The sequence below is a fragment of the Homo sapiens genome, chromosome 2, assembly GCF_000001405.40.
Source record: "Homo sapiens chromosome 2, GRCh38.p14 Primary Assembly".
Classification (NCBI taxonomy): Eukaryota; Metazoa; Chordata; class Mammalia; order Primates; family Hominidae; genus Homo; species Homo sapiens.
The window spans coordinates 144,324,188-144,346,220 of NC_000002.12; the positions used below are offsets into that span (position 1 = coordinate 144,324,188).

The 22,033-nt window shown below is 40.8% G+C and overlaps 1 protein-coding gene across 55 annotated transcripts in view, besides 3 other annotated features; it reads right to left on the reverse strand.

Moving 5' to 3' along the window:
• The window catches only part of QTMAN (queuosine-tRNA mannosyltransferase), a 395,002-nt gene extending 386,120 nt beyond the window's left edge, over nucleotides 1-8,882 (reverse strand). For 35 of the 55 annotated variants that reach the window (NR_164804.2, NR_164801.2, NR_164808.2 and 32 more), the window contains exon 1: nucleotides 8,252-8,325. The gene's annotated coding sequence lies outside the window, so the exon portion shown is untranslated. Of the gene's footprint in view, nucleotides 1-4,341; nucleotides 8,048-8,251; nucleotides 8,326-8,690 lie in introns of those variants that run through there. The other 20 variants (NR_164800.2, NR_164799.2, NM_001376325.2 and 17 more) reach the window with 6 other exon arrangements.
• Nucleotides 8,000-8,599: a silencer, noted in NCBI's record as "silent region_11993". NCBI's record gives its function as "represses an Ori minimal core promoter by ATAC-STARR-seq in GM12878 lymphoblastoid cells {active_cell/tissue: GM12878}" and the evidence as "EXISTENCE:reporter gene assay evidence [ECO:0000049][PMID:35858748]".
• Nucleotides 8,000-8,958: a biological region, named in NCBI's record as "H3K27ac-H3K4me1 hESC enhancer GRCh37_chr2:145090135-145090712".
• Nucleotides 8,381-8,958: an enhancer, noted in NCBI's record as "H3K27ac-H3K4me1 hESC enhancer chr2:145090135-145090712 (GRCh37/hg19 assembly coordinates)". NCBI's record gives its function as "activates a minimal SCP1, AML or CMV promoter by ChIP-STARR-seq in naive H9 embryonic stem cells {active_cell/tissue: H9 hESC(naive)}" and the evidence as "EXISTENCE:reporter gene assay evidence [ECO:0000049][PMID:30033119]".

The window sequence follows — 22,033 nt, forward strand, 5'->3', positions numbered from 1 at the left end:
GCTATACCACGCAGGAGTGTATTATTTGTATATAAATAAACTGATAACTACAAGAGTCTTATACAGTTTTAAAGTCAATTGAGTAAGACCTCTATTTGGAAAGATTTTTACTAATTTGATTACCTCTGTCTTTAAATAGTACAAAACCTACTTCCTTTTAAAATGATATGCTCTAGATAGTTCATTAATTCACACCATTTGAATACGACAACAGATTAATACAACTAAGTTACTAAAAAAAAGATAACACTAAAAAAGACTAATCCCCCCCATCAGATAGGAGAAAACTGAAACTCGGAGCAGTTACTAACTCCCCGCAAAGGCTTGCTGCTCATAAATGGCCCAGAGTCAAAATCAATCTGGACTGACTGTGAAACCCAAAATCTGCAGTCACATTACCTGCATATATTTAAGAAGGCCTCAGGCAATGACCTAGGAATTGCTCACAAGGTCCGGACACAGAGCTTGCTGATATCATACCCACCTACCCAAGGTAATCAAGATATGAATCACCTTGTATCTTAAAGACCAAGAGGTGAAAAGGAAGCTGGTGCACACTGAAAATAAAGAGCCATGTTTTCAGGTGCTTTGAGTAAAGAAAAAAGTAAATTCACTTATAAGGTGTCAGTACACATCTCTGTGGCTGAGACATGCTTGCTTCCATTTAAAAAAAAAAAAAAAGCCTAGAAGACAAACGTCATCACACCTAACAGGCTCTCCACAGATTATACAATAGCTTTCAGATGCCAGGAGCCCAGGAATGCTGCAAACCTTAGTAATTTGCAGCAGATAATCATTCTCCTAAAACTCTAATCAATCCATAAAATTTTCATTTCAAGTTAGGATCTATAAAGGCTAGGCATCATGCCCCAACCCTTTGTTTCTATTTTAAGGGCCTACACTACAAGATAGCTGCTTAATATTTAAACCCAAAGGAGGACAGAGAAGGAATCACGGTTCATCTACCTCAATCCCATATCTTTTATAACCTGCTGTAACTCAACTTTTAGGAATTATAAACATCTTGAGATTGGACAGAGGAGTGTGGCTTTAATTTCAAACAACTTGTATTCTTAAGGAGTCACACACACTTTTGACAGGAAGGTGACAAAATGGAAGGCTGTGGTGTACCACCTAAAACAGCAGGCAGTGCAGGGGAGAGATGAGCAATTATACTCGTCACAGAATACCACACTCTGGATTCCTGTGTAGCAAAGAAAAAACAAAACTATAGAGCAACTTTGCCTCCCCCATCAATGATTCCTAACATGACCTAAAAGAATCACAATCTCGTAAGCAGCTAACAGATATATAGAAAAAGAAAAAAGGAAAAAAAAAAAATCAAGATTGAGGTCATGTACCTTGACATGCATCATTTACACCAAAGATTCCCCCACTTATCTGAATTAATTTCATGTACCTCATTTCATTCAGATAATTGAAGTTTTCCTTTTAGAGTTGTAAAGTGTTTACCTCAACATAATTAGTAAACTGTCCACTTAAAAATACCACTGCAAAAATTACCACCCCCTCGCCTCTACACATATACACACACTCCACTACCATTAAAAGTATAAGATTTTGGCCTTCATGAGAAACTTAATTCAAAAGTCCTCTTTAAAAAATTAGCACAAGAAATTTTACAAAAACAGTTGCAGTCATTGCATTTTTAATACGGAGTGTTTGCATTACTTGTTACAGACATGGTAATTTGGGTGTTCAATACATGACTACTGTTCTGAAACCAAATTAAAGGTTTAGACTACTAAAGAGTTTGATGACTTGCCTCAAAACAATAACTGGGATTGTATAGAGAACAAAATCAGAGGTCTGTCTTCTTTATGAGCAGGCATTTAAAGGCCTTTTAATGAGAATTTACTCTTTAGTATACAATTACTAATGAACAAAAATAGGGCCATTAAACTCACTTCTTCATAATAAAACTAATTGTAAGAAATATATACATATTAATCAAATTCATGAAAAACTGAAATCTCCAATGCCTTACAAGGCAACATAGTGAAAATTATATAACTTTTCTTCTTAATTAAATGTCCTGTCAGGTGACTGATGCCATTTTTTACATGGATATGCCTACAATTTAAAATACACAGACTCAGCCAGGAACGGTGGCTCACGCCTGTAATCCCAGCACTTTGGGAGGGTGAGGCGGGCGGATCATGAGGTCAGTAGATTGAGACCATCCTGGCTAACACGGTGAAACCCCGTCTCTACTAAAACTACAAAAAATAAGCCGGGCATGGTGGTGGGTGCCTGTAGTCCCAGCTACTCGGGAGGCTGAGGCAGGAGAATGGCGTGAACCCGGGAGGTGGAGCTTGCAGTGAGCCGAGATTGCGCCACTGCACTCCAGCCTGGGCAACAGAGTGAGACTCCATCTCAAAAAAAAAAAAAAAAAAAAACACAGACTCTCCAGTACTAACGATGGCAATGAAACGTCTAAGCTTCTTGAATTAATTTTAAACTTCTATATGAACACTGGCTTCCCACACTGATAACAGAACTTATTGTTGGGAGAAATTTATATCTAATCTATATGTATCACCTGCTATATGTACTGAGTGCTAAGGACACCTCCAGGGAACTGGACAGATTCAGTTCCAACCCTGGGGTACACATGATCTAGATGTAAAGACAGATAATGACCTTGCTTGAGGAATGTGTAATAGATACCTGTGATGTTATTTTATATATACCACACAGAGAGAGAGCAAGATGAGAGAGAGAGGAAGATTCCATGCATGGTTCCTGGCTCATAACTACCACAGCCCTTGATCCAGTCTTTTGCTACGACGTGGGTGTGTTAGGCCTCAGGGAAAGCCTCTGACCTTCTCCTGCCCCAAGACAGACACGCCCTGCCCCCAACCCACAGAGGATCCCATTCTATACCCTGGAGGAAGGAATGCTGTCATAAAGTTTTCACAAAAACCCAAAAGAACTGAGTTCAGAGAGCTTCCAGGTAACTGAACACATGGAGGTTCCTGGAGAGAGATGCACTCAGAGATCACATGGAAGGTCTGCACCCCTTCCCCCATACCCCACCCCACACGTCTCTTCATCTGTTTGCCTTTGCAATATCCATTATAATAAACAAGTAAATGTGTTTCCCTGAGTTCTGTCACTCCAGCAAATTAATAGAACCTAAACACGGGGTGGTGAGAACCCCAATACCTGAACAAATGAAAGCTCAAAACTAAGAGAAGAAAAAGGCAGAAAATTAAACACTTGAAAAATAACGAGCTACCATTGAACTGCATAAAAATCACCGATTTATGGGAGACATCCTTAAGTGTCTCCACTAAGAAAGCAAAGAATCCAACAGCTGGCTAGTCAGGAAAGGCGTTCTAACTCATGACTGGATGAATCCAGGGTGTCCTAGAGTCCCTCATGCAAATGAAAAGCTGACCCTCAAAAAAGTTCAAATTATAGCAGCCATGGAGCCTAGATCTCAGTATCTAAAGGGTCAATCTGGTGATGTGAGTCCAGAAAACAGTATCACAGGATCTTGGCTCTGCAAGACCCCAACCACCTACCTATGGATAAGAATAGGTCCCAGCCCCCTAAAGGTAGGGGAGATAGCAAGGAGAGGGAGATCAAGCTGTTAGGATGCCTAAACATGCTTAAGACAAGGTTCCAGTTCCACAAAGGACCTGGAATACAAAAATAAACCACCCAAGAAACATAAATTCTATGGACTATTTATAAGTTACTAAGAAAAGACTGTGGAATTGCTTCTCTGGTTATTTATTTATTTATTTATTTTGGAGATGGAGTCCCACTCTGTCACCCAGGCCGGCGTGCAGTGGTGCCATCTCGGCTCACTGCAACCTCCACCGCCCAGGTTCAAGCCATTCTCCTGCCTCAGCCTCCGAGTAGCTGGGAATGCAGGCACGTGCCACCATGCCCGGTTAATTTTTGTATTTTTAGTAGAGATGGGGTTTCACCATGTTGGCCATGTTGGTCTCGAACTCCTTACCTCAGGTGATCCACCAGTCTTGGCCTCCCAAAGTGCTGAGATTACAAGCATGAGCCACCACATCTGGCTCTGGTTATTTTTTAAACACTCAAAAAAAATTATCGTCTGTTTAAATGACTTGTGTGATCCTACACAGCATAGGGGAAAAGCACTAGATATTCTTACTAATTGTCTGATTCTATATCCTAACTCCATCTATAACTATTTTGAAATATTCTAGATGCCTCACACACACTTAGTTAAGGTGTTTGTCATTATTTCAAAACTCCTTATGAGAAAAGTGCTTTAAAAATGAAAATCTTGCAGGCAAACTGAGTACATCCAAAGGATATAGTGAGACAGCATACCTTTGTGAGCAATGGATGCTCAGGGCACCAGAATAATTCCAGATCCTTCCCGTTGTAGGTGACAGAGGTCTTAAAATATCTTCGGTCTGAATAGAAGAAACTGATCTGGCAGTGAGTAGGCCAGGCAGACTAGGACTGACATCAGAACCAGCAATTACAGATGTGAGCTGATTTGCTTCCTATAAATTAAACACCATCCTACTCTACCGTACAACTGCTTTCAGTAATATTAGTAGAAAGAAAAAAAAAGAAAGTAGTTCAAAGACGTCCCTATGAAAGCTATTACCTCTATGACTCTACATGTTCAACTAGGAATCAGCCTATGGAATTGGCTCTGCATCTGCTCAGCCCAAATTTTACTCCGGAGATTCAAAGAATGGAGTGTTGGTTTGTACTTCCAAGAGAAATACTTGAAAATTTTCCTCAGTTTTTTTTTAAAAAATAACCAGGCAGGGCACAGAGGCTCACGTTTATAATCCCAACACTTTGGGAAGCCAAGGCGGGCGATCGAGACCAGCTTGGCCAACATGGTGAAACCCCATCAGTACTAAAAACACAAAAAATATTACCTAGGCATGGTGGCGCATTCCTGTAATCCCAGCTACTCAGGAGGCTGAGGCAGGAAACCACTTGAACCAGAGAGGCGGAGGCTGCAGTGAGCTGCTATCACACCATTGCAATCCAGCCCGGGTGACAGAGTGTGACTCTGCCTCAAAAAAAAATAAAAATAAAAAACATGCTATTATTCTGATATTAAAAAAAAAAGAAGAGGTAAGAATATAAGTAAAAGAATACACAGTGTTCTTCATGTAATACCAACAAGAAGCATAACATATCAAATACAACCTAAAACTATTTAAAATATCATTTGGGACAATTTGCCAAGGTAGTCCAAACTCTGAAGTAAAGTTACGTTCCTTATAAAGGTCTATATGCTGAAAAACATATCCTTATAAAATAAAACCAAAATTGTAAAACGTGGCCTATGGTAACAGTCAGAGGGTCACTCAATTCAGGTTGTCACACTTTGCTCTCATGGAAACATTGTATTATTTTAGCTCACCTAAGGTGTTCTATTACTAAAATAATGTTCTTTCCCAATATCAGAGTGACTAACATAAGTTACAGAACAAAATTAGCAGTGTGAAGTTTCTTCTCCCAATTTTTCTAAAGTATCTGACACCTGCTACCTCTTTCAATATTGGAATTCAACCTAACAGCGTACCTGGTTCAACACAAAAAAGGAACTGAGTTAGTTCAAGTTTACTATATCATGATTCAGGACTTCCAGGCACTCTGCTACCTTCAAAAATTAGATTAAGCCCAACAAGATCATAAGCATTTAAAGAGTACCCACTACACATGATAACAGGTATACACAGATGAGTAGGACATAGCCGAACTTTCACGAAGCGCCTACCAGGAAAGTGCGCACAGGCCAACAAGTATTTACTAAATGTCTACACTAAACACTGTACTCTGGGATGTAAAAAATTCATCGCACCACAGCAAGAACTTCAGGACTCATGCACTTGAGGTCCACTTTGAAATGCGAGATTGGGCGTGCTGGAATTAGATTATTACATGTGATAGGATTTCCCTTCCTAAGTGATAGTCATGCATCACATGACATTTCAGTCAACAAAACATCGAATATACAACTGTGGTCCCATAAGATTATAATACCGTATTTTTACTGTACCCTTTCTAAGTTTAGGTGTGTTTAGGCACAGTATTCAGTACGGTAACATGCTGAACAGGGATGTAGCCCAGGACTAATAAGCTATATACCATATAGCCTAGGTGTGAAGTAGGCTATACCATGTAGGTTTGTGTGAGTACATTCTATGATGCTCCCACAAGTACACATTTCTCAGAACATACCTGTCATTAAATGACACATGACTAAACCACGGTTTATATACACCATAACTCTAAGACTCTTAAAATACCAATCTGCTGGAAGTGACGTAGGCTATCCGAATCAAAAATATGAATCGATTCTTGAAGCGCAAGATAATTGCTAATTCAAAAACACTGGAAAGTAATGTTTAAACTCACAGAATGTAAATACTTCCTAACTATGTACAATTCATGGCATTTTAATCTAATGGGTCCAAATCATAAATTAAGGAAAAAAATTTCATTTAATTACTTGGCTTTTTAAGATACCATAATCAAACAAACTTTAGTACCATAATCAAACAAACTTTAGTACAAGAGGTCTGAATTACCTAGTTAAGTGTTTAGTTAATGAAGACTACTAGTTCTATTCAGCTCCTGCTAAATCTCATCAAGAAACTGTCTTCGATTCTTAATTTCTCTATAAAATAATGGGATTGGATTATACTGTTAATGTTCCTTAAACATCGAAAATTCTGTATTTCTGTGATGCATAAGATTAAAATGCCAACACAATTTTCAAATCAAGACTAAAGAAGCCATCTTAACCTTTGCAAACTGGTGATGTTAAAAAATTTACTATTTCCTACCTTATTGCAAGTATCATGCTTCAGATTTTACCTATTCATTGTTTTCAAGCATGTCAAAGAAAGTTTCGTGATTCAAGAGGTACTCCTCTAATCCTCAATACTAAAACTGTTTCATTAAATACAGTACAGGACCCTAAGGAAAATGTATACCAAAAGGGAGTGGGAGCCGAGAAGAATCTAATCCAAGTCAGACCTGGAACGCACTAATTAAAATTCAATATTTCACTTGGTATGTGGGTTCCTACATGAAACTCCTGTCATGGTTAAAGCTTAAGGTTAAACACGTTAATAGAAGCCAATAGAATGGCTCTATTGAATTGTACTGAACTTCTTTTTCAGCAGCTCCTTTACCTAACCACTATTTTAAGCTTTAAAATCAACTTCAGGGGTAGGCACCAAATAACCAAGTGAGCCACGGCAGCCGGGGCTGCAAACTGAAATCCATCTCGTATGGAAAATCATCATCAACTCACGTTTTCCATTTCAAACTGCGATACAGGTGGAAGAAAAGCTGTAAAAGCCTTCTCTTTGAAACTCCCATCACACGGCCTCAAGGCATTAACTTAAGAATCTCAAGATAACCTAAAGCAGCACAGTTGTCAGAAGACTCTAAAAGTTGTATGTGCGAGAGAAGGCAAAAAAACTACTTCGGGACTAAAGGTTAAATTTCGCTGCTGCATTCCCAAGACTTAAATTCAGAGAATCTTTCCACCTGGACAGAATGGGATTGTCTGGATCCCGATGAAAATGGGAAGTTATGTGCTTAATCCTCAGACGAGGGATTCCGGGGTGGGGGGCACAGTGAGGGTCTTCACACTCGGCTGGCAGAGAGGAGTGGGGCGCTGGGGAGGTCTGGTAACTGAGGGCGACTAGGAGCCAGAAGCGAAGCTTTCCGTCAGGAAGGCCTGGGGCTCGCACTGCAAGGGGCCAAGCGCCGGGCAGCCTGGTGGTCGGCGAAGCACCCCAGCCAACTCAGGCCAACCCGGACGCCCGGCCTCCCTTCTCCCGCGCGAGGGCGACGTGCCCCCACCCGTCCTCTCAGCCTGCGCGAGGAAGAAGCGGAGCGCCGGGCCGCAGAAAACCAGCACGCACGACATGTAGGCACCAAAAAAACGCAATTCGAACACGACCAGTTTGCAGAAGGCACAAAATGCCACGGCGTGACGCCCCATTCCGAGCGCGGTGCGGACGGCGGCGCAGGGAGCGCAGCGCGTGCGCCCGGGAAGCGCGCGGCTCTCAGCTCCGCCTCCCCCACACCCCCCGCCCCCGGCTCCCCGCGCCGCAGCCGCCGCTGCTGCCCCTCTGGGATCTCCGCGCAGCGCGGCCCCGCGAGGCGGGCGCCGGGGAGGGGAGGGGAGGGGCCGCGCTCCCCGCCTCCCCGCTGGCCCGCGCGGCTCCCCAGCCCGGAGCCTACTCACCTCCTCCTCCTCCTCCTCCTTGTCTCTCCCTCCTGGCCACCGGCGCGGCCCAGCCGGCGACGCGCTGACGCCGTGCCCCTCCCCCGCGGCCGCCGCGGATGCCGCCGCCCCTCCCGGCCCGCGGCCGCCTCGGCCTCCGGGCGCGTCAGGCGCTGGTCCCGCCCCTCGGCCCGCCCGCGCAATCGAGGCTCCGCCTCTCTGCGCCGCCCGGACTCCGCTGGCGCGAGGTCCCTGAGTCAGCGGCGCTCCCGCCCGCGCGAATCGCTCCGCCCCAGCCCGCGGGCTCGGCTCCTCGCACCTGCCCACTGTCCCCCGGCCTCGCACTGCTCCCCACCTCCCTGTGCGCCCTTTCCCATCTCGTCAGCACCCTGTCCGCCCTTTCAGCTTTTTCGTACTCTTTCCCCAACCTCCTAGTCCTGTTCTAAGCTCGCATAGTCACCTTCTCTTTCCTTCTGGAAGGTCTGTGCTGTTCATTAGGTCGACCTCGGATTCCCCGTGCAGTTTTCCAGCCGGCCCGTTGCATCTCCTTTCCTGGTCCACTCCCCGGCCTACTAGAGCCTCAGGGCCCCTGTGCGGGTTCCTGGCTCCCTTGCCGACACCTCTACCTGCTCTGCAGCCCGGAGCTCCTCCACAGCTGCTTTGCCAATGCCTCTTAATATCCCTCCTTCTGGACCTCCTCGATTCCCTCCTGGCAAGGCTCATGCTTTCCTTTATCTCCATTTTTCCCGTCCTTTCGGTTCTGACTACTCCACACACTTCTGATGCAGTTTGAGTATTCAATAATTGCATATTCGCGGTCCCATTTACACGAGGAGAGTCACATTGAGTAATTAAAAATCACAAAGCAAAGCGACAGCAGTGGAGACCATCATTTGACTTGCATAGTTCCATCTATATTTTCCTTATGCAATAATATTCTCATTGCCACTTGAATTTCAAGGAATGGGATTTTCTGTTGGGGCTTAAAATTCACAAATGTTGGATGTTTTTTCGCTGCGACCTAATTTCACTTTAGCTCTTTTATTTATAGAATACATAGTAGAAAGAGTACCAGGAAGTCCCAGGTGTTCTTGACTGTAAAGTGAGGAATGTGTCCCTTCGTTAAATTCCTTTATGAAGTAAAGGATCCTTTCTAAAGTAAAGGTTTTTGTATCTGGAAGGAGGTTGTAGGTTAAATGACTCTGGTGAAGGCAAAACATGCAAATATAACTGGATGTCTGGTTTATTAAGTAACTTCATTTTTAAAACTGCAACTCGGAAGAGTTAGGCTGTGATGTGGAAATGAATTAGGAAACATACCAAAATAAAGGAAATCGATTAGGTCTTTGTACTTATATCCACAAGTTGCTTTAAGTTATGTGAGTAAACATTCTTATCCTTAAATTGAAGCGTCGAAACTATCTTCCGTTCCAAACAAAATCCAGCTCTGTGTGGACATTCAAAGTTTAAAACCATTGTTGAATTGAACAACAGCATTGTAAGCATTTGAAAGCCTAATAAACCATCTGTCCATCCACTTTCACACAAATTGAGAAACAGAAAAGAGTAAATGCCAAAACCTGAAAGTGAGTGTTCTGACTACACATGAAACTAGTAAATCCTATTACACAGAATAAAATACAAAATGCTTCTCCACTTACGATGGGGTTACTTCCCAATAAACACAATGTAGGTTAAAAATATTGTAAGCCAAAATTGCATTTAATGCTAGCAACACAGCAGATGGTCCTCGACTTCCAATATTTTCAACTTTAGGATGGTATGAAATGTATGTGCATTCAGTAGAAACCATAACCCCATCATAAGTCATAAGAAGCTGCTCAACTTACCATGGGGTTACATCCAGATAAACCCATTGTAAAATGGAAAAATTCTAAATCGAACCACAATATCTGAAAAATCCTAAAGTTTATGGCTGCCATTTCATTGTTTTAAAAATAGAATTACATAATTTTATAATTAAACTGGTTCTTAAAATAATTGGGAGTCTAATCCTTTCATTTTAAAATGAAAAAAATTTTTAAATCTTTTTTAATCTGATTAAGAACTGAAGCCCAGAGAGGGTAAGTTGTTTACCCAATATTACCCAGCTTAATTGGAAACAAAGCCAGGGTTCAAACTCAGACTTTCTGTCTCACATACCTGCCAGCATCTGGCTCATGTTAATATTTAACACTTATATAAAGCTATTCAACATCAAAATTCCTTGACTTTGCAGCTTTGCCTACATGGTCTGAGTGATGTATAAAATTGCACTTGGCATTAGCTAGGAAGGTATTTCTGTCGAAGCTGTTTTGTCCCACTGGTTTCAAGGATTCCTGTTGCACAACTTTCATCTCAGTCAGGGTTCATCTGCATGATCCAGGCAATTCTGGCCAGACCTCCGGAGCCATGAACCAACCAAATGCATTCATCCTCGGTGGTGACAAGGTCTTTGCCTAATTGTAAGAATTATTAAGACCCTATTGCCAAGAAAATTACAGCATCACCGGGAAGGTAAAATATGAAACACAAAATGATAATTCAACACTACTAACGAAGGATTCGATTGTAAATTACCAATTTTAAGATGGAAAATAATCCATGTAAATTAAGGGAAGACTTCTTAACAATAACAACAAAAAAGGACAAAAAGTGAAATTTAGAATTTAGGTTGCCTTATGGAGAAAAAAGGTAAAGGAAATTGCTTAAATAAAGAAGTTAAGAAGAAAATAAGCACATCAATAACCAAGAAAAAGATAGGAGATCAGCTGAGGTAAAACAGGAGATTCATTTTAGAAACAACAGAAAACTAGCTGAAATAATAGAGTAGGATCATTGATAAGGGGCCTAAATTTGAGCCTGAGATATTTATTCTAATAGGAAATCATCTGGGTGGACTTGCAATGGGGAAAGGAGGACAAGACAGGGGGACCATAGCCTTGTCCAGTTCTGATGAAGCAAATAGAATTTAAAAGAATCGTTGGTCGTAAATGCAACTAAGGAAAGACTTGGGTTCACTGAGTATATGTAAGAATCAAAGATGAGAATGAAGTCCAAGATGACTTTAGGATTGTAGCAGGAGTCAATAACAGGACATACAGAACTTGGCACCTTAGAGTTGGAAGATGATCAACACTCACTGGTACAGCCTCTAAATTGATAGACAAGGAAGCCAGACATTTTCCCAAGGTAGACCCTCATCGTCACAAACTCATTCCAGAAAACTGTAGTTTACTGTTTAAATAGAATTAGAAGGTAAAAAAGGAAATGCTCACCCTGCTCCTGTCCCTGCTGGTGTTTTATGGTCAGCTAATTTTTATTTCTACTTCAGCCCCACTGATATAAAAGTGCTCAGTAATCCAGCATATAATATTACAATAGGAAATAAATCAATAAGTGTTTGTTAAATAAGTACCAAATGCACTTTGGTATGTTTCTACTCAGAACTCTGCTAGGTGTGGAAGCCTAGAAAAGTATAAAAAGGGAAGGGCCTCTGCCTTTCAGAAGCTTACAATCTGGTTGAAGAAAAAAGTTCAAAGCACCTGACACAATAGAGAGTAAATTCCATGGACGGTAAGAACAACATATGTGGACTGGAAGGTATGTTTATATAGAAACAGGGAGGAATACTGTTGAATGGATTGGAAGTGATATGATCTATAAAGTTCATTATTCAGCACATTTTTGTTAATCTTTAAGCACCATTCTAGGTATTGGAGATAAAGTAGTAAAATAAAAAGCTCCTATTCCTATTGAGGTTACATTCTGTTCAGGAGGGACAGAGAAGAACAAGTAGATATACAACTATAAGAGTAACAGGTGCTCTGGGCCGGGCGCAGTGGCTCACACCTGTAATCCCAGCACTTTGGGAGGCCGAGGCAGGCGGATCACGAGGTCAGAAGATCGAGACCATCCTGGCTAACACGGTGAAACCCCATCTCTACTAAAAATACAAAAAATTAGCTGGGCGTGGTGGAGGGCGCCTGTAGTCCCAGCTACTCGGGAGGCTGAGGCAGGAGAATGGTGTGAACCCAGGAGGCGGAGTTTGCAGTGAGCCGAGATCACACCACTGCACTCTAGCCTGGGTGACACAGAGCGAGACTCTGTCTCAAAAAAAAAAAAAAAAAGGTGCTCTGAAGAAAATAAAGGGCAAAGGTGTCAGAATGCATGTGTAGGGAGTAGGACTGACCTTTCTGAGGAACACTTAAACTATCACTTGAATGAAAGAAACAACCAGTCTTGGATGATCCAGAGAGGAGTAGTTCAGGCAGACAGTAAGCCAGTGTAGAGCCCTAAGAAGGGGTTAAACTCTGTGCATTTAACACTATAACAAAGCCAAGTGTGTCTGGAGTGTACGGAGCTAGGAGGAACGTGAAGGAAAGGAAGCAGGGGAGGTAAGTAAGGCCTCTGGGTAAGAAGGAATTTTGAGGTCAGGTTAAAATATGGATATTTGGGCCGGGCGCAGTGATTCACGCCTGTAATCCCAGCACTTTGGGAGGCCGAGGTGGGCAGATCACCTGAGGTCAGGAGTTCAAGACCAGCCTGGCCTACATGGTGAAACTGTCTCTACAAAAACACAAAAATTAACCAGGCATGATGGCGCATGCCTGTAATCCCAGCTACTCAGGAGGCTGAGGCAGGAGAATCGCTTGAGTTTGCAGTGAGCCAAGACTGTGCCATTGCACTCCAGCCTGGGCGACAGAGCAAGACTCCATCTCAAAAAAAAAAAAAAATTCTATATATCTATATATAGATATATAGATATTTGGAAGATTAGTCACTTTGGCATTCTGGATTCAAGGAAGGAGAAATTAGGACCTGGAAGACCAGATGGAAGCCTGCATAATAATCCAGGCAGGTGGCGATGTGAGGTAGGCAAGGTTGATGGCAAGGCTAGCAAGGAAGATAAAAATGTCAAAATTGAGTATTGGGTATTTCAGAGGAGTGGTAGGCAGTATTGGTTGGAAAGAGTCCATAGTGTCAAATGTAGGAGAAAGGTCAAGGAGAATTTGTATCAAAGTTCACATGTGAACTCCAAGAGAAGAGTTTCCATAGAATGAGGAGGTAAGAAGTGAGGAAAGGGAAGCAGTGAACTTTCTGACTATAAAAACCAGTACAACTCAAAGTGTGCAAAAGGATATGCGTATTTTATTTGCCTTTTAAGGCCATTTATATTTTGAAATACTATTGAATTTTTTTTTTCTTTTTGGAGTTTGGCTCTGTTGCCCAGGCTGGAGTGCAGTGGTGCAATCTCGGCTCACTGCAACCTCCGCCTCCTGGGTTCAAGCGATTCTCCTGCCTCAGCCTCTCAAGTAGCTGGGACTACAGGTGTGTGCCACCATGCCTGTCTAAATTTTTTTTTGTATTTTTACAAAAAGAGACGGGGTTTCACCATGCTAGCCAGGATGGTCTTGATCTCCTGACCTCATGATCTGCCTGCCTTGGCCTCCTGAAGTGCTGGGATTACAGGCGTGAACCACCTCACCCAGCCCAAATACTGTTGAATTTCTAAATCCATTTAAATGCTCCCATCAAGTCTAACTTTTTGTCTCTATACTGAGGGGAAAACAAATGTGTTACAGATGTATCTGATATGCTTTTCTGGGCCAAAATGCAGTCACATCAATGACTCCTTGCTCTAAATGTAATTACAGAAAGTTTACTTTTATTCCTGAGATATGGCAAGAAGCTAACCATAGAAACACCGAGGCAAAGGTAGTATCAGCCATATCAGTTATGGCTCCATTATTGCCATTTGTTAAGTCTAAACCATGTGGGCTGTGGGTTGGACCTTGGACACATCATATATTGTCACTGAATTCCAGGTTTTCATTAATAAAGAAGGGGAATCACCCAGACATTAGGCTTATAAAGAGAAACTAATACCATTCTGTGAGATGCACATATACAGATACCATGACTCCAAGTGCAACTCTTGCAGTCTGGAAGAAGACAACTCAGTTGAACTAGATGTTCTTTTGCCCAGCAAACTGCAAGACAATGAGTACTTCTCTTTCCTAGAAACAGACGAAACTAGTTTGGCAGAGTGAAAGGAGAAACCTAAGGCCCCTCCATTTGTAGCAATGCAATTGAGCACCTCAAGGAAAGCAAGCCTGCCTCTGGCTAAGCTGTGTCCACACATGCATGTGCATGCCTTCTCCCGATTGTATGATGTCGGTGGGTAGAGTGTGTTAATTTGTTAGGTGTTATTGAAAAATGAAATGCTATTAGCACTCTTTTTTATTTGGAATATGCTTCATTTTAAGATCCATTGGGGCCAGTTAATCTCTTGGGATGGTTTGGAAAACTTCATTAAATTCAATGAAGGAAAAATAAGTGTAAGTGATTCTAAAAATAATCATGAAATTTACTATGTTTAATTTGCCGGCTCAAATGCTTCTCAAGTCATAGTGACCAAGGATCCTTAGCATTAATGAACAATTACCATATTGCTGAAATCAACACCATATTTAGCCTTAAAAGCCTTCTTGTTATTGGTGCTGAAAGAGGCCAAAAACATCAGTAGCCCAGGAAGCATAAAATGTACTCTCTGTTGATGAAATGATCTCTTTAAATTAGAGTTTAGCTATTCCAACACTATAATGCAAGAGAATTTGCTTTGTCATTGTTACCTTGTGGCCTAGAGACAGAAGCATTTCATACTGTGGTTCATCCTGTACCTTTTATCAAGGATAAATTCATGTTTTCGTTTAAAACCAGAGAAAGCTTACATAATCTCTCCTCATGATTAGCCCTTCCAGCAATTATCTGTTGCTTGGAATCAGTGTCAGCCAACCAAGTTCAGATGGCAAAAAAAAAAAAAAAATTGTTTGATCTGCCGTGATGTGATTTAGAAGACTGTGTGCATGGAAGGTACAGCTATGCACATACAGAGAACATATTTATCTAATTTGACTGCCAGTGATTTAATTAGTGTTTGTCAAGCACTTTGAACATGAAAAGAACTATCTGAAAGCTGAGAGCTATTACTCATAATCATTTTTCCTATTTGTTGAACTAAAATTAACATACAAATGTGATACTTTTATGGTATCTTTGAGAGAGATGCTCCTATTCTAACAAATTCATTGGACCACACTTTAAAGAAAGTCTCATTAAAACTTCAAGTCTCTGGTTTTTGAAAGTCAAGCTTCAAGCTGGTTGGGTATCATCCATCAGTAGATTTTGAAGCATACAGGCTAAATAAACACCAGTGACAGCTTGGGGAAGTGTATGCACCTGTTTATTGAGAAAAAGTTAACAGGGGCACATCTAAAATAAGAACACAGACCGCAACCTGATTTTTAAGAAGTTTTTGTGCATGCCTACACTTAAAATTACCCATATTATCATCTAATTTTTTTCTTCTAATTTTCTCTCCAAAGAATAACTACTAATGAGCACGATGCCTTGGTAACAATCTGAGAGGAAAAGAAAAATAGGGAAAGACCCTATTTTACAGCTTTGAGAAGAAGCAGACATCATGTTTTCCATTATTGCTTTTTCTCCAAGTCAAGTAGAAGAGCAAATGGCAAAAGAAGAAGACATCTTGATGAGAAAGTAAGAAGCCTGGACAAGGGCCCTGGTCTATCATTATTTTCCACATAGAGATTTTAGCAGTATTGCATTCATACCTGCAAAGGACTGGTGGGATATTTGTTGAACTTTCCAGGACGATGGGGCAGAATGGACTCCCTGTGGAACAGAAGGTTGACTCTGACTTTCCCAGGAGACTTGTTTTTGAATTTTAGTTTCATTTTCTTTACATTCTAGTCCCCTAAAGATAATTTTTATGTTGCATCTCAATGTGGTATCTTCTTTCTGTGTGTACCATGCAGCACACACATCTTAATAGGATATGGCTGATTAAAACACTAGTCCCATCTCAACCCTATTAAACTGAACTATACATACGGGCCTGGAAATGTACCCTTTCTACAAGCTCCTCCATGATTTTATGCTTTCTACAGTTCAAGAAAGAACTCTAGAGGAGGTATTGCTTGCCATGTCTGGCCATTCTCAGCACAGATCTTACTTGTAGTAATCAGATGCCACAGGAACAGTGGTGTCCACCAAATATTATGTGGCTCCCTTACAGTTTCCACCCTCTCATGTCATTAGCTTGGGGCCATGTAACTAGTAGTAACCAATGGGCTTGTGGAAAAATGAAGAGTGATGCCTCCAGCTCTATGTTCTTTTTTTTTTTTTTTTTGAAACAGAGTCTCCCCCTATCAACCAGACAGTCGTGCAGTGGCCCAATCTCAGCTCACTGCAACCTCCTCCTCCTACGTTCAAGTCATTCTCAGTGCCTCCCGAGTACCTGGAACTACAGGAGCACACCACATGCCCGGCTAATTTTTGTGTATTTACTAGATACGCAGTTTTGCCATGTTGGCCAGGTTGGTCTTGAACTCCGGACCTCAACAGATCCGCCTGCTCAGGCCTCACAAAGTGCTGGGATTGCAGGCATGAGCTACAGTGCCCGGCCAGCTGTAGGTTCTTAAGAGCACTCCCCCTTTCCTCACCTCTGTGTTCCTGGAAGCCCCATTTTCCAGATGGTGTAGCTGTAAGAAAGAAGTGGCCCTGCATCCCTGGGAGTGGGCCTGGAGAGCAACTAGACCCCTCAAGAGACTTCTGATGAGTGAAAAGTAAACCTTTAACAGTTTAAGAGCTCAGGTGTCATTCGCTACACTAGCATTGTGGAACCTATCCTGGCAAACACAACCTGATTTAGCTGTTTCTCTTTCACAACTGCAGAAACATTTTTTAACTTTGCAGTGTAAACAGGTAGCAAAGGATAATAGAAGGAACAATGTAATTTACTAAATAAATCATTTAAGTACAAATCGATATACAGAAATCACAAATAGTATATTGTATGATACGAAAAGAAATGCTCTTTATGTAGTTCAGGTCTGCCTTTACTTTCCAAACCTCGCTTAAAGTAAAGAATTAGTAAAATCTTTAGCCTACTGTATCTAGATAAAATATCTTTGTCCTTGCCATGCCTAAATCCTCTTCTTTTCTCCAACATGGCTGTGTATCATTAACATTCCATCATCTGGGTTCTCAGATGGATATGGTTCCCATGTCCATTGCCAATCAGAAGTGGATTAATTACTTATTTTTATTTGTTGCTTAAAATGTACTTCTTAAGTGCATCAACTAAATTTCTGTGACATTATTCACTAATTCTTTCCATTTGTTACTGCACAGATGTGTGCAATGCTGAAACAAAGAGATTTCCTCTTCTGTGTGCTTTGGGCTCTGCCCTCACACACCTGAGTCCAGCACCTATGGGAAGGATGAATCACAAAGCTTTGATGGAGGGGATGAGTGATGGAAAAACAACTTCTGTAGAGGCCGTACACTTGGCAGAAGTCACTGATCTATACTGTTTGCTGGTCTACCCCTGAAGCATTCTCTCTGACTGCAGAAGGCCAGTTTTTGCTATTGAACCATTTCAAAATCACTGTTTGAAAGCTACATATGCATGTAAAGAAAGGGCAGGGAACATTTTCTTTTCATGGGTTCTCAGGCACTACAGAGACTGTTTTGTCAGTTACTACGTCCATACTAACCAATCTTATAGCGGCCTCAAATCTTTTTTAGAAACAATACATAAGCTAGCTACAGTTTGCTTCTCCCATGGGTAGAGTATAGTTAATAACATTTCTTATGTTTTAACACATCACCTTTCCCTTAATTCATAGACCAAATAGAAAAAAATAATGTACTGTATTCTTTTTCCTGTTGCTTTTTCAATAATTCACTGAACAAATTCACATAACGTTCCTGGAGTCGGGTGGAAGAACCATATGAAATGCACCCATTGAAATCTTTTTGAGTTCTATTTAGTATTTATTTGTCCCCATTTTGAAATTAGGCCATGCTGCTTTTGTTCCTATAGAAAAGAAGTTATGATTTAAGAAAACTTTACAAAAGGGAAGCTGATCTTGATGTTATCAAGCTTCCCTCTTTTCTTTTAGTAGAATATTTGAGAAAATGCCAATTGGTGTAGGCTATCATCAGAACTTTTCAAGATCTGATTGCTTTTGAAAATTAACTTGCATAAAACTATCTGACCCTCTTTAACAGATATTATATTCCCCTCTGAAAGATTTGCACCCACATTTGTCTCTATGTACTGAAAGAGTAAGACCATATCAAATGTTTTAGATGAAATGATGCCATAACTATCATGTTCTCCCTTTTTGGGGGTGGGCAAGCATTGGTATAAACTCAGGCATTCTGCTGGGCACAGTGGCTCACACCTGTAATCCCAGCACTTTGGGAGGTCAAGGCGGGTGGATCACCTAAGGTCAGGAGTTTAAGACCAGCCTGGCCAACGTGGTGAAACCCCATCTCTACTAAAAATGCAAAAATTAGCCAGGCATGGTGGCGTGCCCCTGTAATCCCAGCTACTCAAGAGGCTGAGGTGGGAGAATTGCTTGAACCCGGGAGGTGGAGGCTGCAGTGAGCCAAGACCCCACCACTTCACTCCAGCTTGGGTGACAGAGTGAGACTCCCTCTCAAAAATAAATAAATAAATAAATAAATAAATAAGTAACCTAAACTCAGGCACCCATATTCTTTCATGGTGAATGTTAACCAGAATGCCATTTTTGTTCAGAACGTCACTGGATGTTTTTATAATTAGAAGATTCACTTTAAAATGAAAGTCTGAGGTTGATGAGGCAGAACCAGCTATTTTTAAAGGAAAATTCTTATTAGTACAAAATATTGGAAGACAAACAAAATGAATTTTTACAGGCAGATTAACCAAATTGTTCATTATTATAGTAAACATTGCAAAAATCAAGAGGATGGACTATATTAGCCATATTATGGACTATATTAGCCATACCCAAGCTAGAGAATGAAACACTATGTACTAATTTATGTACAATAATTGTTCATACTAGCATTTTCATAGTTTGGGCAGTGACTCATTTCGTTCCATGTGACCTTTGTTCTCCAGGATTGGTTGCTATAGAAAATAGAAGCAATAAAAATAAAATAGGATTTTACTAGGCTAGCTTTGGGTTTTTAAAAATACTTGAATATCAAGGGTAAAGCAGAAGACTACTTTTAGGGAATCTGGTCCCTTACATCTTTACAGTAATTTGGATATTTGAAAAGTAATATTGTTTCTTTTCGTTTTTATAAAGGACATTTAGTAAGGTATATTTCAGTGGCATATCATTTTAGCATTTAAAAAGAATGACCATGAAAATCAAGTTAGGTAAGCATAGTCTTTTACCTTTTTTTTATTTTGCATTTCTAACATTTGGTTTTCCTTTGAATGTAGATGGGTATGTTAAAGGAGGGGTATATTTCAAAGAAAGAGCTTAATAAAGTAATTTACGGACAGCAGGTCGCCAATAATAAGCAAATATTTTATAAATCATGAGACTGAGTAGATTATAAAAGAAGGGATGAAAACCGCTGCCAAAAGACACAATTTTCAAGGAGTTTTCAAAGCTAATGAAAGGATCTAAATGTCAATGGTACACATACACAGAATAATTCACTTCCTAAAGGTGCTTCACTAGGTATTTTTAAACTTGTTATTTTGAAAATTCGCAAACATGCACCAAAGTAAGAAGACTGTTATTACTAAAAGGGGTCCCCGTGAAGTTATCACCATGTTTGTTACACTTGATTTAGGTCCCATTCCCTTCTTTGACGCTGTTTTTATGACTGGGATATTTTAAAGAAAATCCTTATATCATGTTATTTTACACCTAAATACAATAGTATCTTATGTTAATTGCAATGCAATTATCACACCTATGTGTGTTCAAAATGTCTATTTTCATATCCTTAAGTCATTGCTAGTGATTAACATTTTCTTATTTGATTTTTATATTTACTTTATTCCTTCCTCCTTTATAGTCACCTTCTCAATTAGCAAAAGAAATCCTACACCTTGATTAGATTATTTTTACCATATTCCTTGGGCCCTTCCCATGCCTTTCTCTGGCGTGATGTGTATTCAGAATCTTAATACCATTTCCAAATTCTGCATTGCAATTGCCATGACACAAGAAAATTAAATTTAAATTTTGCTCAGCTAGGCACAGTGGCTCACACCTGTAATCCCAGCACTTTAGAAGGCCAAGGCGGGCGGATCATGAAGTCAAGAGATTGAGACCATCCTGGCCAACATGGTATGACCCCGTCTCTACTAAAAATACAAAAATTAGCTGGGCGTGGTGGTGCGCACCTCTAGTCCTAGCTACTCAGGAGGCTGAGGCAGGAGAACCACTTGAACCCGGGAGGTGGAGGCTACAGTGAGCTGAGATCGTGCCACTGCACTCCAGCCTGACAACAGAGCAAGTCTCCATCTCAAAAAAAAACAAACGAACAAAAAAAATTGCTCAAATTTCAAAGTTTATGGAGTGTAAAAACACTGTAATTTATTTTTTTAAATGAAACAAATCCATAACCTAGCTGTGACTGCATTGAGTAATCTGCTAGGTAATTTCTAGGATGTTTCTCCTGGGATCCTTTGCAAATATAGAAAGACGATTTTGGCTAAATGAAGCCAGTAAACAAACACATAAAATTAAAAAGTAAATGACTGGAAGATAAGGTTTAAATCCTAGCCTGAAAGAGGACAGGAATCCAACACACTGGTTGAAGAGAGTTCTATGGAAAAGAAACTCGTGGGCAGTCTCTTGAGAACACTGCCATCAGGATATACGGGCTCCAAGCATTCTCCAACATTGACTGTATCACCCTTCTCTGCTCATGGCTAGTCAATGGCATGTGCTACCCTTGAAGGGATAGCAGGACCCCTTCAAACTTGGTGCAGTCTTACCAAGACCACACACAGTGAGGCAGAGGTGGTTTCCCAAAGGAAGATCAACTGAGGACACCAAAAAAGAGAAAATGAGTGTATGGTAGGCAAATTCCACAGAAGGGCAGAATGAGAATGTAGAAACTCTTCTTGCTCTCATCCGTGACTCTCTGTTCTTTAGCTCTTACTGATGGGTCACTGAGAAAACCAGTCTTTCTCAACAGCTCTGGCTTTGTTCATGTATATATATCTGTATGTATATTAAATACTATTAGAAACTACTAGTTTACTAGAACCCCTTTCTTCATGTCCCCTTTGTTAGAATACCACGATTTTCTAGTTCTCTAACTTCTTCTCCTTATCCTTTGCAAGCAATTTTTCTTCTACCTGTATACAGTCATTCCTCCCTCGGTATCCAAGGGTGATTGGTTCCAGGACCCCCAAGGATACTAAGATTCATGGATGCTCAAGTTTCTGTTATAAAATGGTATAGTATTTGCAATATAACCTACATACACCCTCCTTTATACTTCAAATCATCTCTAGATTACTTACAATACAAATACTATATAAGGCCGGGTGCGGTGGCTCATTCCTGTAATCCCAGCACTTTGGGAGGTCGAGAAGGGCAGATCGCTTGAGCTCAGGAGTTCAAGACCAGCCTGGGCAACAGCATGGTGAACCCTGTCTCTAAAAAAAAAAAAAAAAATGTACTTTTTTGTTTTATTGCTATTTTTGTTTTCAGAATAATTTTGATCTGGGGTTGGTTGAACCTGTGGCCACAGAACCTACAAAGTGCTAACTGCGTTCTCATATTCTGAACCCAGAAGTGCCTGAGAGAGGCCTCGACCAATTTAGAAAGTTTATTTTGCCAAGGTTAAGCTGTGATACAGCCTCAGGAAGTCCTGATTACACGTGCCCAAGGTGGTGGGGGTACAGCTTGGTTTTATACATTTTAGGGAGACATGAGACATCAATATACATGAGTAAGATGT